The following is a 20384-nucleotide window of genomic DNA, read 5'->3' as shown; positions in this document are numbered from 1 at the left end:
GTGAGTGTTCCAGACTGAGCTCCGCCTCCTGTCAGATCAGCAGCAGCATTTGATTCTTATAGAAGCACGACCTCTATTGTGAACTGCACATGTGAGGGATCTAGGTTGTGCACCCCTTATGAGAATCTAATGCCTGATGATCTGAGGTGGAACAGTTTCATCCCATAACCATCCCCTCCCACCCTCACATCTGTGGAAAAATTATCTTCCATGAAACTGGTTCCTGGTGCCAAAAAGGTTGGGGACCAAAAAGGTTTGTAGGGATTTCCTTTTTCTCAGTAAAGATGAGACATGACCAATGCCTCAGGCAGGGAAAGTTTGAGGCAGCAGGAGTAAGTATTATATGGTAACCTGAAGAGTGAGAAAGCAAATTACTGAGGGAATGAGTTAGAACCGTTGGGCAGTAATAACAGACTTTTGGGATTTGGGGTCATGATTCTGAAATAGACCCTGTTGTGATATCTCATCCAGCAGCATAGCAGCATGGGTCCATGCACAGAGATGGAGGAGACTTGGGCTTAATTGAGGTTGGTTTTTTTGTTCTTCTTTGTTTTGTTTTGTTTTGCTTTAACCAGAAGAGTATGATGGGGGAGTGAGAAAGAAGGGAGCTGCGGGTGGGTGTTTACGATGATGCACAATGAAGTCTAAGCTGAGTAAATAAGGGAAGTGCAGACACGAGAGGCCATGAAGAATGTGACGGTTGTAGGATAAATGAACAGTGAATCAGAGGTGGGGCACTGACGGAGAAAATTGCTGTAATGAGAGGCATACCAATAAGTGAGGTGCAAGGTTAGGAGGTGGGATTCAGGGAATGAGTTTTGAAATCAAGATTTTGGAAGAGGCATGTTGGGCTAATGGATGTGTGTTAAGGACTGAAGTGGAGCAGACAAGCAGGATGAAAGTACTGTAGAGAGAAAGAGGCAGACCATCCCCTATTTTTTAATCTCTTCACATACCTTGTGCTGCCTGATTTTGAGTCAAATCCAACTGGTCAAATTTAGGCCTACTTTGCAAAACCCAAAGAGGTTAATCCAAATCTAACATGGGTCTGAAAGTGTCAGATTAAGATGATACTGGCTGCATTCAGATAGGAATGCATTTTGCTGCCAATAATAGAAAACTCAACCAACAGTGGCTTGAACAAGTAAATGATTATTTTTCTCATACGATAAGAAGTTCAGAGAGCGGCAACTATTGGCCCTGGCTAAGAACCTCTACAATGTGAAGGCCAGGTCTGTGATTCTTTTGGCTTTTTTCTCTTGGTCACGTGGTGGCTGTTGGATCTTCATGTATTACAACTTCCGGGCCAGCTTTCTGCTAAGACCAGGTGGAATCATTTCAGACTCTGGGAAAAGGATGGGAGAAAAGAATCAACTCGGGCAGTCAGCAAGGTCTATAACTCATTATTGGGTTCCTGACCCACTCCTGGTTGAAATAAGGAAACTTTCCCTGGAATCGTTGAATGAGTTCAAAGGAATAGGAAACTAAAAGTGTTTTTAATCCTTCATCAGCTGTTTTCCTTCCCTCATAATCCCTCCTCCCCAAAAGATTTATATATAAGTATGCAAACCAGATTAGTCGGAAACCTGTAATGTGGTTATCTTTGGGCAAATAAACTGCTCTATGCTTACTGTTGAAATTCTAGATATAAATGTAGAACTACAGACAGTCAAAGAAATTTGGGTTTCACCTATGAGGATTTTCAGGCCACTTCTGAAGCCTCACTTTAGGCAACCTTCTCCCACCATCCATAAGTCCTAAAGAATATCAAGTTTCTTATTGGAAGCAGATGGGATGCTTTCAGGAGTTGCCACTTCTATGTCAATGACTTAAGATTTAAGTGATTGGGGCATTTGTGGACATTCTAAAATGGATGAAGGGCTAATGAATGAAAGTTAATTAAAATAGCATACATACAATCGTAACCACTCAACTTTAGAGGAATCTTTATCTATTTTTAATTCTTCTAATCTGGCTTATCTAAAGAAAAAAAATCCTAGCTAGATATCTTCTCTCTGTATTGTTGTTTGATCTTTGACATTTATTGTTTTAGAAATATTTGATTTTACTATATTATATTTTATCATATTTCTGAATTCTTTACTGCTTTATGACTTCATGATAATCCATTATGTACATTTATTATTGTTAAATTTCACAGTCAAATTACCAAGGTGTGTGCCTTCTGCTGAGAGGATGGCATTCAGGTTCCTGCACATCTTTTGTTAGTGGTTGCTATGTATAAAATCTACTCTGCATGGAATTTTTTTTTAAAGCATAGATAACTCTTAAAATTGAATCCATGAGAAAGATCAGAATAGCAAAGAGACCTGTTCCAGTACAGGGGTTTAAATAACTGTTAATCTATGGTTTCACCAAAGTGGATTTCTCAGTGACTCTACACTTTTGCTGTTGACACTATCCTGATCAGGTCACCTTGTTATAGTCACTTTAGAAAGTGCTCTTTTTTTTTTCTTTTTTGGCCAGAGTGTTGCTCTGTCACCCAGGCTGGAGTGCAATGGCATGATCTCGACTCACTGCAACCTCTGCCTCCTGGGTTCAAGCGATTCTCCTGCCTCAGCCTCCCGAATAGCTATGACTACAGGCACCCACCACCACGCCTAGCTAGTTTTTTGTATTTTTGGTAGAGACGGGTTTCACTGTGTTAGCCAGGATGGTCTCGATCTCCTGACCTCGTGATCCGCCCGCCTCAGCCTCCCAAAGTGCTGGGATTACAGGTGTGAGCCACCGCGCCCAGCCGACTAGAAAGTGCTTTTAAATGTCAATTGCCTTCCTATCTTAACTATATCCACACTTTCTTTCTTTCTTTTTTTTTTTTTTTTTGAGATGGAGTCTCGCACTGTCACCCAGCTGGTGTGCAGTGGCATGATCTCAGCTTGCTGCAACCTCTGCCTCCCAGGTTCAAGTGATTCTCCTGCTTCAGCCTCCCAAGTAGCTGGGATTACAGGCATCCACCACTACAGCTGGCTAATTTTTTGTATTTTTAGTAGAGATGGGGTTTCACTATGTTGGCCAGCCTGGTCTCAAACTCTTGACTTCGTGATCTGCCCACCTTGGCCTCCCAAAGTGCTGGGATTACAGGTGTGAGCCACCATGCCCGGCCTATATCCTCACTTTCTATTCCAGAAAAAATAAAATAAAATAAATAAGGAAAGCCATAAAACAATAGGCAAGTTTAATATAAAATTTATATTTGAGACCTTAATGTTGACCAGTGGAGGCTCTAATTATTTTTATTTTTCTGTATCTACAGTGAAAGGGGAAACTTCTCTGATTTATGCTGTCCTTAGCTTACTAACACTGCAATCTCGAGACACCATAGATCGGTGTACCATCTGTAGTCATGGTCATAAATAATGGCAAAATCTGAAATTGCTGAATATATGCCCATAATTTCATTTTTGATCTCTCTTTTGTTAAAAATATGAATGACCACATCTACTTTATTCACCGTCATTCTAAAGGAAACTAAAAGACTTCAAGGAGCTTATGGAATAATGGAATAACCCATCATGTGGGTAGGATTTATAAGCTAATATGGAAATTCCCCATGAGCATTCAGAAAGACTCATATTCCTATTCATTGCTGTGTGTCTAGTCTTACGATACTGGAACGAGTTTAAATTTTCTTTCTATCCAAAGTTGCAATGGACAATTTTCATGCCGGTTTGAAATACCATCGACTTCTCCTTCTCTCATAGTTACCTTTATTTTTAACTATAAGAACTGACTTAGTGGCTCCAGATGTTGTTGAGAGAAGGGGGATTCAGGTTTTGAGGTAGAGCAGAGATATGGATGGTGTTTCAAAAATAAAAAAGATAGACATTGATATATAACAGAATGAAATATACTGAGCACCTATTTGAGGAAAGATACTGTGCTAAACACTGGTGACACCGCACAAGACAAACTCTTCTTGCTTCTTACAGCTCATCATCTATTGAACACTTTCCCAAGACTTGGGAGAATTAGGAAGGTGTAGGAAGGAAGAGAAAAGATTAGAGCCTAATGAATGAAAGAATTTTTGATGTTGCTTTTCTTTTCTTTTGATTAAAGGAATTGCAAAGGTTACCACACTTAGTAGATCAACAAGAAAACCACATTTTTAAAGTACTAATTGCTCTATACAGGATGCAGGTGTCTTTAACCAAGTCTTTGGACTACTAGAAACAGTTATCACCCTAGAAGACTAACAGATCCCGCTTTGTTGACAAACCATTAGAACGATTACCAGGTGTTTAGTGCTGTCTTTGACTTGAGCAGTTCAAAACCTAGCAGACGCAGGAAAGTGTTAATAGCTCTCTTCCCACGCTTGGTTGGCATGCCAGCTTGGGAGGCAAAAGATTCTTAGCCTTTCCATTCATGTTAATTCAATTCAATAATGTTCAATTCATTTAAAATGAATTAAGACATGACTTTGCTTTAGGTGTTTGGAAACTACTTCATACCCGGTCTATCCACTAAATCTAGGTCTAGCCAACTTCCTATTGGGCTTTTCCACATGGCTACCTCACAGGCTATCTCACCTAAAACTCAACATGTCCAAAGTTTGCTTCCACACACACTGCTTGTTCTGTGTTCCTTTCCTTATCTCAGAAAGTAGAACACTGTCACTGCAGATAACCAAGCTGAAAAATGAGCATCTCCTTCTCCTTCAACCCCTTATCAATCCATGCATCCATTCACTTAGTAAACATTTCCTGAGGAGGTATTATTCTAGCCCCTGGGATGTAGCAGTGCATAAAACAGATGGAATTCCCTACACTCTCGGAGCTTAATTCTAATTGGAGGCAGACAATAAACACAGGAAATAATGTAAGAAATGGATAAAATTGGTGGAGAAAATAAAGTAGTATAGTAAGAAGGATGGGGAGTATTGACTTAAAAAATTTAAAAATAGCTAGTCAGGTGGGTTTAAGAAAAAATTTGAAAATGATAAGGAACAATATTACGGGAATATCTAGAGGAGAAGCATTACTGAGAGAGGGTGTGGTGGAGCCAAAGACCCCAAGGCAGGACCAAACGTGGAGTGTTTGAGGAACAGTCGGGAGAGCAGATGGCTGGAGCTGTGAGCAAAACGTGAGGCGGGAGATGAATTGGAGACTGGATCATGCAGGACCTCGCAGGCCACTGTAAGGACTTAGATGTTTACTTCAAGTGAAGGGGGAAGTCATTGATGAGGCTTCAGTAGAGGAATAGAACATGATCTGTATACATTTTAAATAAATCATTCTGTGGTAGTTGATGATAACACATTGAATTAAAATTGAGTGGACATTGAATCCACCGTGAGAGTCAGGAGAAGGAGGAGGAGGAGAAGGAGGGCAGCAGGAAAGGGTAGAAGAGAAGAAAGGGAAAAATAAGGAAGGCGATTTTTTACTAAAACGTCTGTTACAAAATAGGAGTGAGAATATTTTAAAGTCATGATTTTGCAACTTCCAGTATAATAAATAATCTAGAAAAGGTTATTAGTAGATAGCAAAACCATTGGGTAAAAGATCGTGGATATTTGAAAGGTGTCAAAGTATCACCCCATGAATTTCTTACTAATTACAAAGAGGAAAATTTATCTTCCCAATGGAGAACTCTGGTGAGTTGATTCATTAGTCAGGTGATCAAACAGCATCATAAGCATTAGGACAACCTGACATTATGTGCCTCTTGATCTGATGCAATATGAATTATACAACATAATATATGAGGAAACTGACAAATTCAGAAAGTGTGGGATATTCTATATGAAAAAGTACATGTCATTTAAAAAGAAGAAAGATTATTCTAGATTAAGAAAGACTAAAAATATACAACAATCAAATGTGATCAAATTGCATTTGATTGGATCTTGGATCAGAAAAAGAAGCTGCAAAAGACATTTTATATTGTATTGTTCTTTCAAGTTTTCTGTATGCTCGAAAAGCTTCAAATAACAGGTTGGCGGGGGTGTTGCATCATTCTGGCTGCTGTGTAGAGAATAGACTGCAAGGGCCAGGGAGCAGCAGGTAGACAGGTTAGGAGCCTATTATACTAATCCAGGAGTAAGATGGTGGTAGCTTTGATTAGAGTGGTAGTGGTGGAGGTGGGAAGAAGGGATCTGATTCTTTGTAGATTTTAAAGTTAAAACCAAGGGCATGTGCTGATGGACTGAATGTGAAATATATATATATAAATGTATATGTGTGTATATATGTATATATGTGTGTATATATGTATATACGTATATATACACATATATATATACATATATATACACATATATATACACACACACACATAGGAGTCACCATTACATCAAAGTTTCAGATGTAAGCAATTGAAAGTGGAGTTGCTACTAACAAAAATGGAGAAGACTGAAGGTAAGCCAAGTTTCAGGGAAGGTCTCCCATTCAGATTGGGTTATAGTATGTTGAATAGCTCTGCTAAACATCCAAATAGAGGTGTTGCATAGACTGTTGAATATTCAAGTCTAGAGTTCAGAGATGCCTGGGCTGGAGATATAAATTTGAGTGTCATCCTGAAATTGGTTGTGATTGCAAGGAAGTGTGTGTTTCCAGAGAAAAGAGGAGAACCAAGGATTCTGCCTTTGGGGTGGTGATGGGGGTTGGGCTCCAACATTAAGAGTCTGATTGCCAGGACTCTAAACCACAGTCCAGGATTCATTGCCAGGTCCTATTAGTTCTAGCTCTATGCCCACTGATCTTGCTTTCATTCTGGCTGTACCCCATCTGCCTCTTGGATGACGATGATAGGCTCCTAACTGGTCTGCCTTCCACATCTTACTTTGCCCTCATCTAATTTCTCCTCAACTCTGGTGCAAAAGGTCTCATTTCACCCCTCTGTGGAAACAATTCAGGGCTCCTCCTGGATCTCAGGATAAAGCCCAAACTCTGTAGCTTGGCACACAGGTTCTTTAAGATCTAGCTCTTGACTGCTCTTTCCAATCTTATCCCTTATACTCTCCCTACAAATTCCCATAATCTGAACTTCAGTCACACTGGGCTATCTAAATAAGTACCACTATCTCCATAAGTGGAATACAAGGTAGACATCCTGTAAGTATTTGTTGAATAAATAAATAAATAAATAAATGTTCACTTTTAGAATGCTGAAATTGAGGTCAGTGGCATGTCTTTAATCTGGAAAAAACAAACCCATATGTTTATTGTATCCCTACTTAGACCAAAAAAGGGGCACTGTAGGTCTCTAAAAATAGGAGTTGCAAACTAGTCTAGACCAGTTTAATTATAATTCTGCAAAAAGCTGGGAAGAGGTGACTTCAGAAATGTACATTTCAAAGCACTGGTTACATGTTTCCGGTGTTACTCGCTCCATATTAAAACTCTGAGCAGCTGGGTGCCACATTACTGAATTTTAAAAGCTGCACTTCGGTGATCCATAGCAAAAGAGCCTATGAGTCAGGTGATGATCCATTCATCAGTCATAGGAAACATGAGGCACTGAAAATTTAATACAAAACCCCAAACCCACAAAAACTATCCACAGTTTCCTAACACAGGGGATGTGACTCATATCTCAGCAGGGGTACACATACCTTATTATAGTCACAAAAGAAAATGTTTCTCAAACAAAATTTTCCCCCCAACATCATTTGCACAGGGCAGTAATTTGGTGAAAATCTTTTGAAACTTACAAAGTAATTTATTTCTTTGTGGTTGGCCCATATTGCTATGCTTGGTTCTTACCACAATGACTCTTAATTTAGGGAACAAAATGATGGCAATTAATCCTTTAACTATATTCAGCTGAATCCAGAGTCAAATTGAGAAGGGATGGAAAGAAAAAGCCCTTGGTTGACCTAACCTCTGGACCTCCCAGAAAGTGCTCCCACACTCTAGGGATGCCCCCACCAATACCCAGAGAGAAGAGGTCCTGAGCCGGCCATCCCAGTCTCAAGTGGATTCCCATTAATGCACTGCTTTTCTTGATGATAGATAGGGAGGAGGAGAAAAGGAAGGGGTGTTGCTAATAGAGAGACATCACAAAATACATGTTTAGTACTAATCTGAATGTATAGGAGAGAACTTTTTCTTAAATACATCTTTAAAGTTGCGGTGCAGATTTGATGATTTTGTTCATAAAGGACAAGAGAAATAAATGAGTGAGTAGCATAGAGACCTCACTTACATGTCCACTCAGTTATTCAGCAATAATTAATTACATGTCTATTATGTGCCAGAGATTTCATAACAAATGGACTAGAACATGAGCCATGCCCTAGAGAAATCTCCTATCTAGTGTACATGAGACAGCCCTATAATCAAGAAATTATAGTGATATGATAGAATATTCATGCAGGAGCCTTACAAAAACATACAGTGTAAAAGTATCTAACTCTGCCCAAAGGTTAGGAGGGTCCAATCTGTAGGCAATTTTTGTAAGTTGAGTCTTGCAGCATAAATCTTGAGTTGTCTTAGAATACAAAACAGAGAAAGGAATTCGAGGCAGGGAGAACAATATATGCAAAAGTCGGGAGATAAAATGGCATAAATTGAATTCCACATACCAGATTCAGGGGTTTCAGAATATATTTGATACTGACTTCTTTTGACTGAACATTCTTTGAAGGTGTTTTGAGGCTGAGGTTATGAAAACAAACCTTCAAATGGGAACAGTAACATTAATGCATTTTTGTAAAAAAATGTTTTCTGAAGCAATTTTTCTTAAATCTTGATTGGTTTCTTGAACAGTTTAACAATTTCCAGTTTTTCCTTTTAAAATTTTATTTAAATTTTCATTGGGATCAATTCTTTCTTCTCTGGGTAAACATTTACAAAATTTGATTCATCAGTCAGTTTTCTGATCCTAATGATTCACAGATTGCAGTTTTTGCTAGTAAGAGTTGTGTGAGGGGAAAGTGGGAACAATTATTTCAATAAATTCAATATCCCAGGGACAAATTTTATAATTCTAAGTCTTACGGAGTATCACTTTAACTGTTGTTGATTTTAATTTGTGGTATTTCTTTTAATAATATTCATTAAAATTGAGTAAAAGATAGATAGCCATTTTTTAGTTAATCAGCCAGTCAGACTGAGAGAAGTTCTCTTGAATAGTCCGGAATTGCACTGTTATATTTTTCTTCTAGTTTTTTGATAAGCCTGTGTTCACTAACTGTCTTTGCTACTGCAATAGCAAATGATAAATGTTGTAAACAAAATGTCCTGCTTCAGATAGAGCCCATCCACGATGAGTCACATCCCTGCTTCTACCTATCAGATTAACCCCACAGACCAACTACAAAACACCAGTGTGCTTTTTGGAAATGCTAGGATCTCCCAGAACGTAGTCACTCAATTAAACAGCGTATACTGCTAGCAAAAGGATTCTTTAAGACCATATCAGTGACGATTTAGTCTTGAACTCGGCATTTCATTCTTCCTTGGTTCTCTGGATTCCATCCGTAAGCTCCAGGTGCCATTTGAATCAGTACCTTTCTGTGTTGAATGTATCTGTGTCAAGTTCAATTCTTCCTTATCATCTGCTTTGTTCAGGCTGTTTTCGTTGATTGATTTCTTAGGCCTCAACGTTTCCAGCTGTACTACTTTTCTGTACAATTTATGCTCCTCGGAAGTTATACAGAATTTATGATTTTTAAAACCTGAGATATATCTGCTTTTTATTTTCTCATCATTTCAACAATTATCACCTTTGTATATGATTAAATCTTCATAAACAGGGTCTTCTAACATCAAGCACCCTGATTAGTTATTTAGTCATTTCAAAAGGTTTTTAGTCAAGTATCCTTCTTTAATATGTATTGGTAACTCCTAAAACAGAGATTCAACATGTTAGGATTTTTGTAGGATGGGATATATTTGTACTTCTTTTTACTAGAGAATCAGGTCTAGTGTTTGAAGTCCAGTTCATTATATTTGCAGGCCAGGCGCAGTGGCTCACGCCTATAATCCCAGCACTTTGAGAGGCCAAGGTGGGCAGACAGCTTGAGCCCAAGAGTTTGAGACCAGCCCGAGCAACACAGCAAAACCTCATCTCTACAAAAAACACAAAAATTGGCCGGGCATGGTGGGGCATGCCTGTAGTGCCAGCTAGTTGGGAGAGTGAGGTGGGGAAGATCGCCAGAGCCTGGGAGGTTGAAGCTACAGTGAACTGTGATCACACTCCTGCACGCCAGATTGAGCAACACAGTGAGACCCTGTCTCAAACAAACAAACAATCCTCACCTGCAAATTATTTTCAGTTACAATCCTTGACATAAGTATATTCTCATGCCTCTATGTCAGTGTCATACAAGGAGAATCCATTAGGATTTTTCCCCTGATTAAATTTCAAGGTAAGTCTTGCCATCTCTTGCTTTTTCAGATATTGCTGCTTTCTTGCACACCCCATGCAAAGTATGATTGTCTTGAGACTGCTGGCCTCTGATTCAGAAAGAGTTCAGAGTTTACAGTTAATTAACCTGACAAAAGCACCTCGTACAACTTCCTTTTCACAAAACAACTCGAACTTCCATCTTCAAAGCATTAGACTTTATCTAAACGGTCTCAAAATCCTTAGGAAGGAAAAAGGAGAAAAGAAACTAGTTGATACTTCTCCAAATAACCCTGCATGGCCATATCTACAGTCTTTTAAAAGCATTTCCTAATCAAAGAGCTAGAGGCTTGCTCAGAGTCTTTAATATTGATTAGAAATTTAAATATTGAGATTTTTCAGAATATCCTTACAGTTTGAATTGGCACCTGGATTTTCAGTGTTGTGTGCTCTGATTTTGCCATGGGTGGAGGGGATTCTCAATGATTATTCTCCTGCATACACACATCAGGAGTTTCTGCAATGATGATCTTAGCATTATATAGACATTCACAACCACCACCACCCCAATTGTGTATGTGTGTGTGTGTTGGAAGAGGGAGTATGGTGTATTGGAGAGAAACAGAGATGGTTTTTATAGTCACCTGTTTTGTGTTGTGTTGCGACTGGCTGAGCCAGTAACTTGGCTGTCTACAATTCATCTTTTATCTGCAAGGCTCTGTAGTGCAACAACAAGAATATTTGCAGTTCATGTGCATATGACTTTGAGTGGGGGAAGGCGTAGCATGCAGTCACCATTTATAGCATTAGCAGTTATACTCTACAAGTGATTGCAGCATACAATGAAATAGCATTTTGATGATAACTCAATTTCCATTGATTGTTGAAGATTCAGTGATTATCTGACTCCAGTGAAACAAGAAATACTTCTATCTAAAGTCAGTTTAGTCAAGTTGTCTGCAACTTGACTGCAACAGACATTTAACAGTCCACTTAACAGCAGCAATTTCTGAACAAAGATATTTTTCAAAGGAGAAAAGGAGCAAACTGCTTATTGCAGGCTCAGGCAAAGGCCAGTTATTTTGTTTTTTAAAATATACTTTTAATTTTAGAATAATTTTACAGAAAAATTTATAGAAAAAATTGCAAAGGCAGTACAAGTAGTTTCCATATGCCCCACACCATTTCCCCTATTGTTAAAATCTTACAATAGTGCCATACATTTGTCCCAATTAATTAAACAAAACATATGCATTATTATTACTTAAAGTCCATACTTTTTTCAGCATTCCTCAGTTTTCCCCTAATATCCTTTTTCTTGTCCAGGATGCTATCCGGTATACCACATTACATATAATTGATAAGAAGACTTTTTCCCCATCTGGCTTTTGGACTTGTGTGAGTTGTTGTTACTATCTTATGACCATAAGGAAAAGAACCTGGCACCAAAGTCGACATGCTGAGAACGGCAGGAAAGAATCTAGGTTTTAATATGCTGTAGATCTCTGGGCCCACCAACAGTGGAATCAACCTTTCTCTGGACATCTTGATATGTGAACAATAAACCTCTAATTTAAAAATTATTTGAATTACTTGCAACCAAGACCATCCTAGTATGTTAGTATATAAAGATAACAATGATTAACTAAATGCATCTTCAGAAAGTACAGTTAAGTGCTATTGTGAAAAGGGCACTGGAATCGGAGTCAGGGCAGGTATGTTTGAGCTTGCACAACTACAACTACCTACAGGCTCTATGATATTGACCAAATGACTCTCTGCAATTTTCTCATTTTTTTCTTCTTCTTCCTCCTCTCTCTCTCCTTTTTTTTGGGGGGAGGGTCTCACTCTATGGCCCAGGCTGGAGTACAGTTGCACTATCACAGCTCACTGCAGCCTTACCCTCCCCAGGCTCAAATGATCCTCCCACCTCAGCCTCCTGAATAGCTGGGGCCACAGGCACACGCCACCACGCCCGGCTAATTTTTGTATTTTTTGTAGAAATAGGGCTTTGCCATGTTGCCCAGGCTGGTCTTGAACTCCTGAACTCAAGTGATCCACCTGCCTCGGCCTCCCAAAGCGCTGGGATTACAGGTGTGAGGCACCACGCCTGGCCAGGTTTTCTCATTTCTAAAATAAATATTTGAACAGACTGATCTCTGAGGCCTCTATCAGTTCTAGAATACATGTTTCTTGAATAGATCTAGACCAATCTCTTCTGTTACATGTAAGTAAGGAAAAGCTCAGAGACTTAAAACTTGCCCAAGTTCTTCAATAGATGGTACCAAAACCCTGTTTCTGATTTCTTGACTATCAGTCAAGCACAATCTTTTATGTATGCCTCCCCTTGAAGGTGTTTATTGGAACATCTGCGATTCGCACAAAGCTGTAAATTATTTTAGAGATTGTATTACTCAGGGTTCTTTGGTCTTAATGGACAGAAATCCAACTGAAACTAACTCAAGCCAAAAGGGAATTTATTGGTTGACATGCTGGGAGGTCTTAGGATTAATTTGGCTTCACGTATGGTTGGTTCCTGGGAGTTCAAACAACGCTTGCAGGTCTCCCTTTCTCTCTCTCTCTCTCGCTTTTTTTTTTTTTTTTTTTTTTTTTTGAGACACAGTCTTGCTCTGTTGCCCAGACTGGAGTGCAGTGGCACAATCACGACTCACTGCAGCCTCAACCTCCTGGGCTCAAGAGATCCTCCTGCCTCAGCCTCCCGAGTAGCTAGGACTACAGGCATATGCCACTACGTCTGGTTAATTTTTGTGTTTTTTGTAGAGATGAGGTTTTGCCATGTTGCCCAGGCTGGTCTCGAACTCTTGGGCTCAAGTGATCTGCCTGCCTCAGCCTCCCAAAGTGCTGGGATTACAAGTGTGAGCCACCATGCCTTGCCTCCTTCTTTTTTTCTGGGTGTCAGTTTCACTTTTAGTCAAGATCTCTCCACATAGCGGGTAAGATGATTGTTCTCAATTTCAGGCTTACATTGTTCTCACAGATGATGATCTTAGAGGAATCACCTTCCTTATAAGGGACATGTGTTGGTTGCTAAACAAACTTTGGGAAGAAGACCCATATCTTTTCTAATTTATATGATGGGGAAGTGGGGTGCAATTTCATCCTCTCACCTAGGGAGGTTGGAATGAGTTCTCACATTGGCGAAACAATTCCATTCCCCTGCCCACAACTACTGATTTAGGGAAGGGCCATTTCAGAGGCCTTCACAAGGAAGGTAGGGATTCAAAATTAAAAGGCCTATAACATTAACAAAAATTATAATATTAAAAAACTTATATGGCCTATCAGTTGCTTTATAAGGGAGCCAGTAGTAATAAAAATACCAATTTATGCCCCTCCAGATAAACAACATAAATCAATTCAGTAAAAGAAATTTACGAGATAGGGCTTTGACACCTATGCTTTGAAAATTTTGAAAGTTATTGAACAATTTCCCACTGGCTTGATTTTTTTTCTATACCTTGGAGCTCAAGTCACAGCTAATGACCTTAATGATTTTGAATAGCTCTTACTGTGATTTAAAAGCAGAGGCTCTCAACCTTGAGCCTACCTCAGAAGGTACCAAACTTGAGCCTACCTGGAGGGCTTGTTAAGTACATACAGCCTGTTGAACTCTTCTCTCAAAGTTTTTGATTCAGTAAGTCTGGGGTGGGGCTTGAGACTGCATTCTAACAAGTTTCCAAAGACCTTGCTGATGGTCTAGGGACCACACTTTGAGAATCACTGTGCTAGAGCATTCATGGGGGTTCTTATATGCACATCATTAAAATTATTACAGAACAGGAATCTTGTAAATACAAGGAATCATATTCATCATTACAATGAAAGAACACTCATATTTCTTATTCATTCTAGGCAAAGAATAAAAGTTAAAAAGTAAATTAGGTGTCATCTCGGAATTGGAGTTTTGAGAGAGGCTTTCCATTTGAACCTATCAAATGGGCAGTTTGGAAGTGGCCTGCCACTCAAGAGGCACATTCTAGCCTTTCTTCTTTGGGATTTAGTTGATTCCCCAACTTTTAGTTCAGGTGGAACCTTGCTGTGATGCTTTTGTAATTTAGGTTGAAATTTCAACCTTCCAAACACTTTGTGATTAAAGGACCTAGATGTTTGGATAATAAATCCAAGTCCTCTGGTGATTATTGGTCTTTTGCCTAAGTCCAAATGGCCTTATTCTTCAAAGAACTTGGTTCAAGCTATATGTAAAGCCCTTTTTGCCATCCAGTGGTCGTGTCCACTACAGCTTTGGCAACTGTATCTTTCTCCCTGACCCCCACTCCTGTTCTTATCATTTTACTCCTATATCCCCCAAATCTCTGTTTCTGGTTACTGTCTCCAAAGGACAAAGAAGTTGAATTTCCCTAAGCATTAGTGTTTATACAATTTAGGAGTCAACGTGATTTTTCAATCAAATCTTTACTTCCTCACTCAAAAGCCCACATTGGCTCCCTAATGCCAATCATATCAAATCTATCCTATTCTGCCTGAGTTTAAAAGCAATAATTTCTGTAGGTATGACATCTAGCATGCTGTGGATTTTTATAAGCTCCTTTTCGTATAGACACCAGGACTTATATTATCAAATACCTGGGTGGCCAGCCTGGCTTAGCATCCCTCTTGAGCTAAAAGCTGAATAATTTGAGAAAAGAGATCAATGGGAGGTCTCTAGCATAAAACCAAAGCTGACAACCATTTCCTCAAAAAGTCTTGATTATTTTATATCCACAAGGAACTGGCTACATTCTGTAATCTCTTTGCTTGAGTGACAGTGTTCCACTCCAACTAATAGGGGTGCATCTCTTAACTGGTAATAAATGAGTGGGAGTTACACAAAGACAAGTGGTACTCTAGTACATCCGATCTTGTGATTGTCAACATCTATGGTTATTCAGTTCAATGTTGAATTCAATTTATGTTGAATCACTTCAGGAAATCCAGAGAGTCCTCATTACACATGGTGAGTGTGTTTCCTCAAGGAGGTACAGTACTTGGCATCTCTTAGATGACTGTGACTCACTGCTTCGTCTGGCTGCTATACAAGTACGTATTGTTTCATTGAATAAGAGGGTAAAAAGTCACATAAAACATTGCATACTACAAACGGCCAGGGAATAATTTGACTTGCCTTGGTGCAACTTAATTTACACATTGGACTTCTAGAAAAAAAGACTGTTCCATAAATACAACTTCATCTGGGCACATGAACCATGAATGGCTTTGATTATTTTTGTTGTTGTTGAATTCTCCTTGCCATTTTTTGGATTATAATATTTTTTCAGACAGACTAAAGCTACTTTCAGGCAGGGAGAAAATTAAATAATATGAAAATAAGATAAAAGGGGCTTGTAGTAAGCAAAGTAGATGAGTAAGGCAAGTAATATAGGTTTTTCTCAGACTTTGAAAACATTACCATTTATTCTCAACCCTGGTGAATATAACTTCCTTCATCGTACGGCTGAAGTTTTTTAATTAAACTTCTGATTAGTAGCCATATTTAAGGTTTGACATGTTGTCTCCAGAAAGGAAATATAATGAACTTGTTTTACAAGCTCAGGTCACACCCAGGGGATATTGCTTTAAATAGAAGAAGCATGCTGGTTTTGCAAAGTATGCTTGTTCTGTATGATGTCAATATCCCTGGAATTTTACATATATGAGAATGTTTAGATAAATACTGTATATACAGAGATTCTAATTTGAGCACTTCTTTTCTTTTCTCTCTCTCTCTTTTTCTTTTTTTTTTTTTTTTTGAGACAGGACCTCACTCTGTTGCCCAGGCTGGAGTGCAGTGGCACCTTTACAGCTCACTGCAGCCTTGACTTCCTGGGCTCAAGCCATGTTCCCGCCTCAGCCTCCCGAGTAGCTGGGACTACAGGCAAGCACCACTATGCTGAGATAATTATTAAATTTTTTGTAGAGATGAAGTCTCACTATATTGCCCAGGCTGGTCTCAAACTTATGGGCTCAAACAATCCTCCCATCTCGGCTTCTCAAAGTGCTGGGATTGTAGGCGTGAGCCACCACGTCCAGCTGAGCATTTTTTTGGTGAAGGAAAAAACTAGATGACAACTAGAATATTATCTGGATATTTCCAAACATGACATGAGTTGCCCTGAAATATCCAGCTAAGTGATGCTGGAGTGTCTTCTGAGAGGCTACCTGAATTATTTGGAACATTTACAAGTGAATAGCGGATATGGCTATACATAGACTTAGTCTGTGTTTGTTTCCGCACAGAACCAAAATTAAGGAAAGGGGACAGTCACAAAACACATTCTAGAGCTCCTCTTGCTTCCCCCATAGCTTCCCTATGCTTCCCTGAGGCAAAGAAAACCTCGTTGTCAAACAGGATTCCACTACTGGGCTGAGTTGTAGGTACAAATTTCAGTCCTTTATTTCTTACACATTGCAAACTTTGTTTTCTGTATTTCAGTTTTTACTTTTTAAAACTTTCTATACATCAATGAATTGCATCCTCCAGCTCCTTTTCTGATTTAAAGGTTGACTGGGGTTGTGCTGTGGTCTCACCTAGTGCTGTTTTCTGAGATACCCTTTGGGTTGGAGATTGTCCCAGCTTGCATTGTCCCATCAGTTGTCTTCCTGTACCATGCTGAGAGTAGTGCAATCTTTGGTGAGCGCCAGGCCTTGGACCCAGCTCCGCTGGAGCATCTCATGGCCATTTTCCTTTATCTTCTGCCGTGTCCTTCAGATGGTGCAAGGAAAGAGCAGAAACCCACCCTTCTCCCCTTGAGTCGAAAAATGACTTCTAGGCTGGTCAATAGCACAGGCTGCTGCACGACGGGATTGTAATGGCTTCTGCGAGCATGCGTGTTCCTGAAAGGGAGCCAGGAAAAGGCGCCTTAGAGATGTTCTAAAAGCAGAGCACCTCTATAAGATCAAGCTTCATCCCCAATTAAACGCTGACCGCAGTTGGTTAGCTCACTATGCTGTGCGGCTGCTGAAGAGATGAGCTTGGCCAGGTTAAAGGTCACATGACCTGAGTATGGCCCAGATGAACCAGGTATGCAACCACAGGCAAAACCTAAGTGCATAGAGGGAGGCTAGTGGACTGATTTTTTTTTTTCCTGAAATTGTCCATTTAATATTTTCAGACTGTGGTTGACCGTGGGTAACTAAAACTGCAGAAAGGCAACTACTATATATCTATGAATTCAATCATCATGGACATCTAAAATAAATGGTGTATTTCTCTATTTACTTATGGAAAAAGATTTCCAAGATCATAATCCTTTATTTTTCAAAAAAAGCAAAATGCATTATTTGTATATAATATAGTAGAGTACCATTTTGTTTTACTCATATATCCATGTAATAACATATATTGAATGCCACTTATTTCCCACATTTTATATATTTTTCTGAAACATATAAATACATAAAGTTATCCTGTTTATTTTGAAAGATATGTTTTATAAGAAGTTTATAAAAACAAAGGAGAAAGCTATAGAAATATTTCATCTATGTGAAATTTTAAACATATAATAAATGTATTTTCTGTTAAACACCAAGTAATAAACACCTTCTTTTCTACTGATGTTGTTCAATAAAGGTACTTGGGAGTTAAACTCTGTGTCTTTCTATAAATTGAAAATGTCTGTATTTTAAACTTTTAGTAAATATCATTTAGTGGAATATAAGATCCTCATTTTGAAATTGTTTTGTAGGTTTTTTTCTTTCTTTCTTTCTTTCTTTTTTTTATTATTGGACTGAATTAAGAAGTGGATACCAGGGAGGCCGTGGTGGGGAAAATGGCGGCCGAGAAGAGGGGAGAGAAGCAGCCTGAAAAGTCGCAGCGAGCTGGAGCTACCGGAGGACCTGAGGAAGAAGCAGAAAAACCTGTGAAAGCTAAAACTGTTTCTTCCAGTAATGGAGGGGAAAGTTCCAGTCGCAGCTCTGAGAAGCGATCAGTGAAGAAGCTGCAGACCTCCCAACAAAGCCTACAAAGATCTCCAACTTTGGATTTGCGTTAGGTAGACGACAAAGAAAGCGTCAGCCATATCCATCAAACTTGGATCAAGTAAGCCTAAAGAAACTGTTCCAACTCTTGGCTCCAAAAATTTTCAGTAGCAGCAGCTCTTAATGAAGATGAAGATGGATACACCAACATCAGCTGGACCGAACTCCTTCAATAAAGGAAAGCATGGGTTTTCTGATAACCAGAAACTATGGGGGCAAAATATAAAATCTCATCTTGGAAATGTCCATGACCAAGACAATTAAATGATGTTTTGAAATTGGGGTGTGGGATGGGTGTAAAGTTAAAAGGAACAGTTTCTCTTTTTAAAGAATGGTATAAGACTATCTTTGGAGCCGCTTTTTTTTTCTTTTTCATTTTTTTAAAAGATTGAGTGGTACACTAATAAATGAGAGTTTGAAATTAGAGGTAATTTATGTTTTGTCTACAGATTTCAAGACATTTGCTAATTTTGTAGTTTCATGTGATTAGTTTCCAAAGGTTACAGATAATAAATAAATCAGAAATGGTATCTTTTTAAGAATTGCATTTTTTTTTAGACACAACTATTAGCACATTAAGAGGGAAACAAAAAGTTATTGTTTGTTTAAAACTGCAAGCACTTACTCTCTTAACTCCCTTATTACCTAAACTTGTCTGGCTCCCAGGAACAGCCTTATAGAGAGGAGTATTGTATTGGGAGGAAAATGCTACTGAACTATTGACTGAAAGTAAATTTAGATAAAATTAAAATATAGCTTTTTTTCCTTATAGGCATTTGTTTTGTTTCAAATCATCATAAATTAGGTATTGCATTGCTGTCAGTGGATACAGACGCGTAGCTCTTAAAAGAATTTTTTAAAAATGTAAACTGTTGAATATTTGAAATAGCCCACTTCACCTTAATGGGTCTTGTCTATCTTCATTAGTCCTCAAAGAAAAACCATTTGCTACAAAAGTAAATCAGTATTTTCAATTTGCTTCTCTTGTTTTTTGTTTATTAGCTAGTTCCTGTAAGCATTTTCACCAGAACTTGACACAAATCATAAGGAGGCGGTTTTTTAAAATACAAGCCACCACCAAAAATTTAAATGTACATATTGCTTAAGTATTTGGCTGTTTTTATTTTTTACAAGGTATAAACACCAAAAAAAAATTTAACATTGTATGAAGATGGAAAACAAGAAGATGCACTTTCTGTAACTTTGTCTAAGGATTTAATATGAAATCCAATTTGAATTGAACTTAACTACTGGCTTTCTTACTAGTAAAATTATATGGTTTATTTTAAATGTATACATATTGACCAATGGCCTCTCAAAAAGCACATTTTAGATACTGAAATAGAAGGAAAGGAAATGCATCTTCAAACATTTTTTGGAATCTTACCACATATACCTTGTTAGATTTGTGTATTGTAGGGTGTTTGTTTTTGTATTTTTGTATTGTATATGAACTTTAAAAAAAAAGTAACAAGCACATCTTTAAAAGCATTGTCACAGACAAAAGAAACATACAGTATAAAAATTTCCTTGAAAACTCCTACAGTATTGTATTTGGAGGCAGCTTCAGACTGTTTTATTGGTGGTAACTGCTTGCTGAGCTCTTTTAATCGGTAATAACTCTAGAGAAGCAGCCTGTGTATATTCCTAACACTTTGTTCACTAGCATTTAAGTTTAGAATAGGCCCCTAGTAAAACAATGGAAATATATATAGAACTCTTAGTTCTTATATGATTTCATTATATCAAGATGCATGAATTTAACTTACTTTAATGAGGCAAACTATCCATTTTTGTCCATTTTCTTGTTAAAGCAACATAGCTCTCCTACATATTCTTTTCTTGACCCAAATGAAATATTAACCTAAGGTCAAGCTGGGAGAGAGAAACGACTGAGATGAATGTCTTTACCAAAATACCAATAAATTTGTCAAATTCAAACTCAAACTCAAAAAAAAAAAAAAAGGTGGATTCACATGGCAGGATCCAGGATCCAATCAGTTTGAGCTCTGGCATCACCCCATGGCAGGATCCAGTCAGGTCATGCTTCTGGCATCACCTCATTGCAAGATCCAGTCAGA

At 38.5% G+C, this 20384-nt stretch overlaps 1 pseudogene, besides 1 other annotated feature; it reads left to right on the top strand.

Annotated features, from left to right (window-relative positions):
- Positions 6929–8128: an enhancer, noted in NCBI's record as "P300/CBP strongly-dependent group 1 enhancer chr12:66050206-66051405 (GRCh37/hg19 assembly coordinates)". NCBI's record gives its function as "activates an origin of replication core promoter dependent on BRD2, BRD4, P300/CBP, MED14 and CDK7 cofactors, with strong dependence on P300/CBP, by STARR-seq in HCT116 cells {active_cell/tissue: HCT116}" and the evidence as "EXISTENCE:reporter gene assay evidence [ECO:0000049][PMID:35650434]".
- PCNPP3 (PEST containing nuclear protein pseudogene 3) lies at positions 18066–20243 on the top strand (annotated as a pseudogene).

This window comes from Homo sapiens, chromosome 12 (assembly GCF_000001405.40).
Source record: "Homo sapiens chromosome 12, GRCh38.p14 Primary Assembly".
NCBI classification, from domain to species: Eukaryota; Metazoa; Chordata; class Mammalia; order Primates; family Hominidae; genus Homo; species Homo sapiens.
The sequence above is the reverse complement of the archived record's forward strand: the minus strand, read 5'-3'. Positions and strand labels throughout refer to the sequence as shown.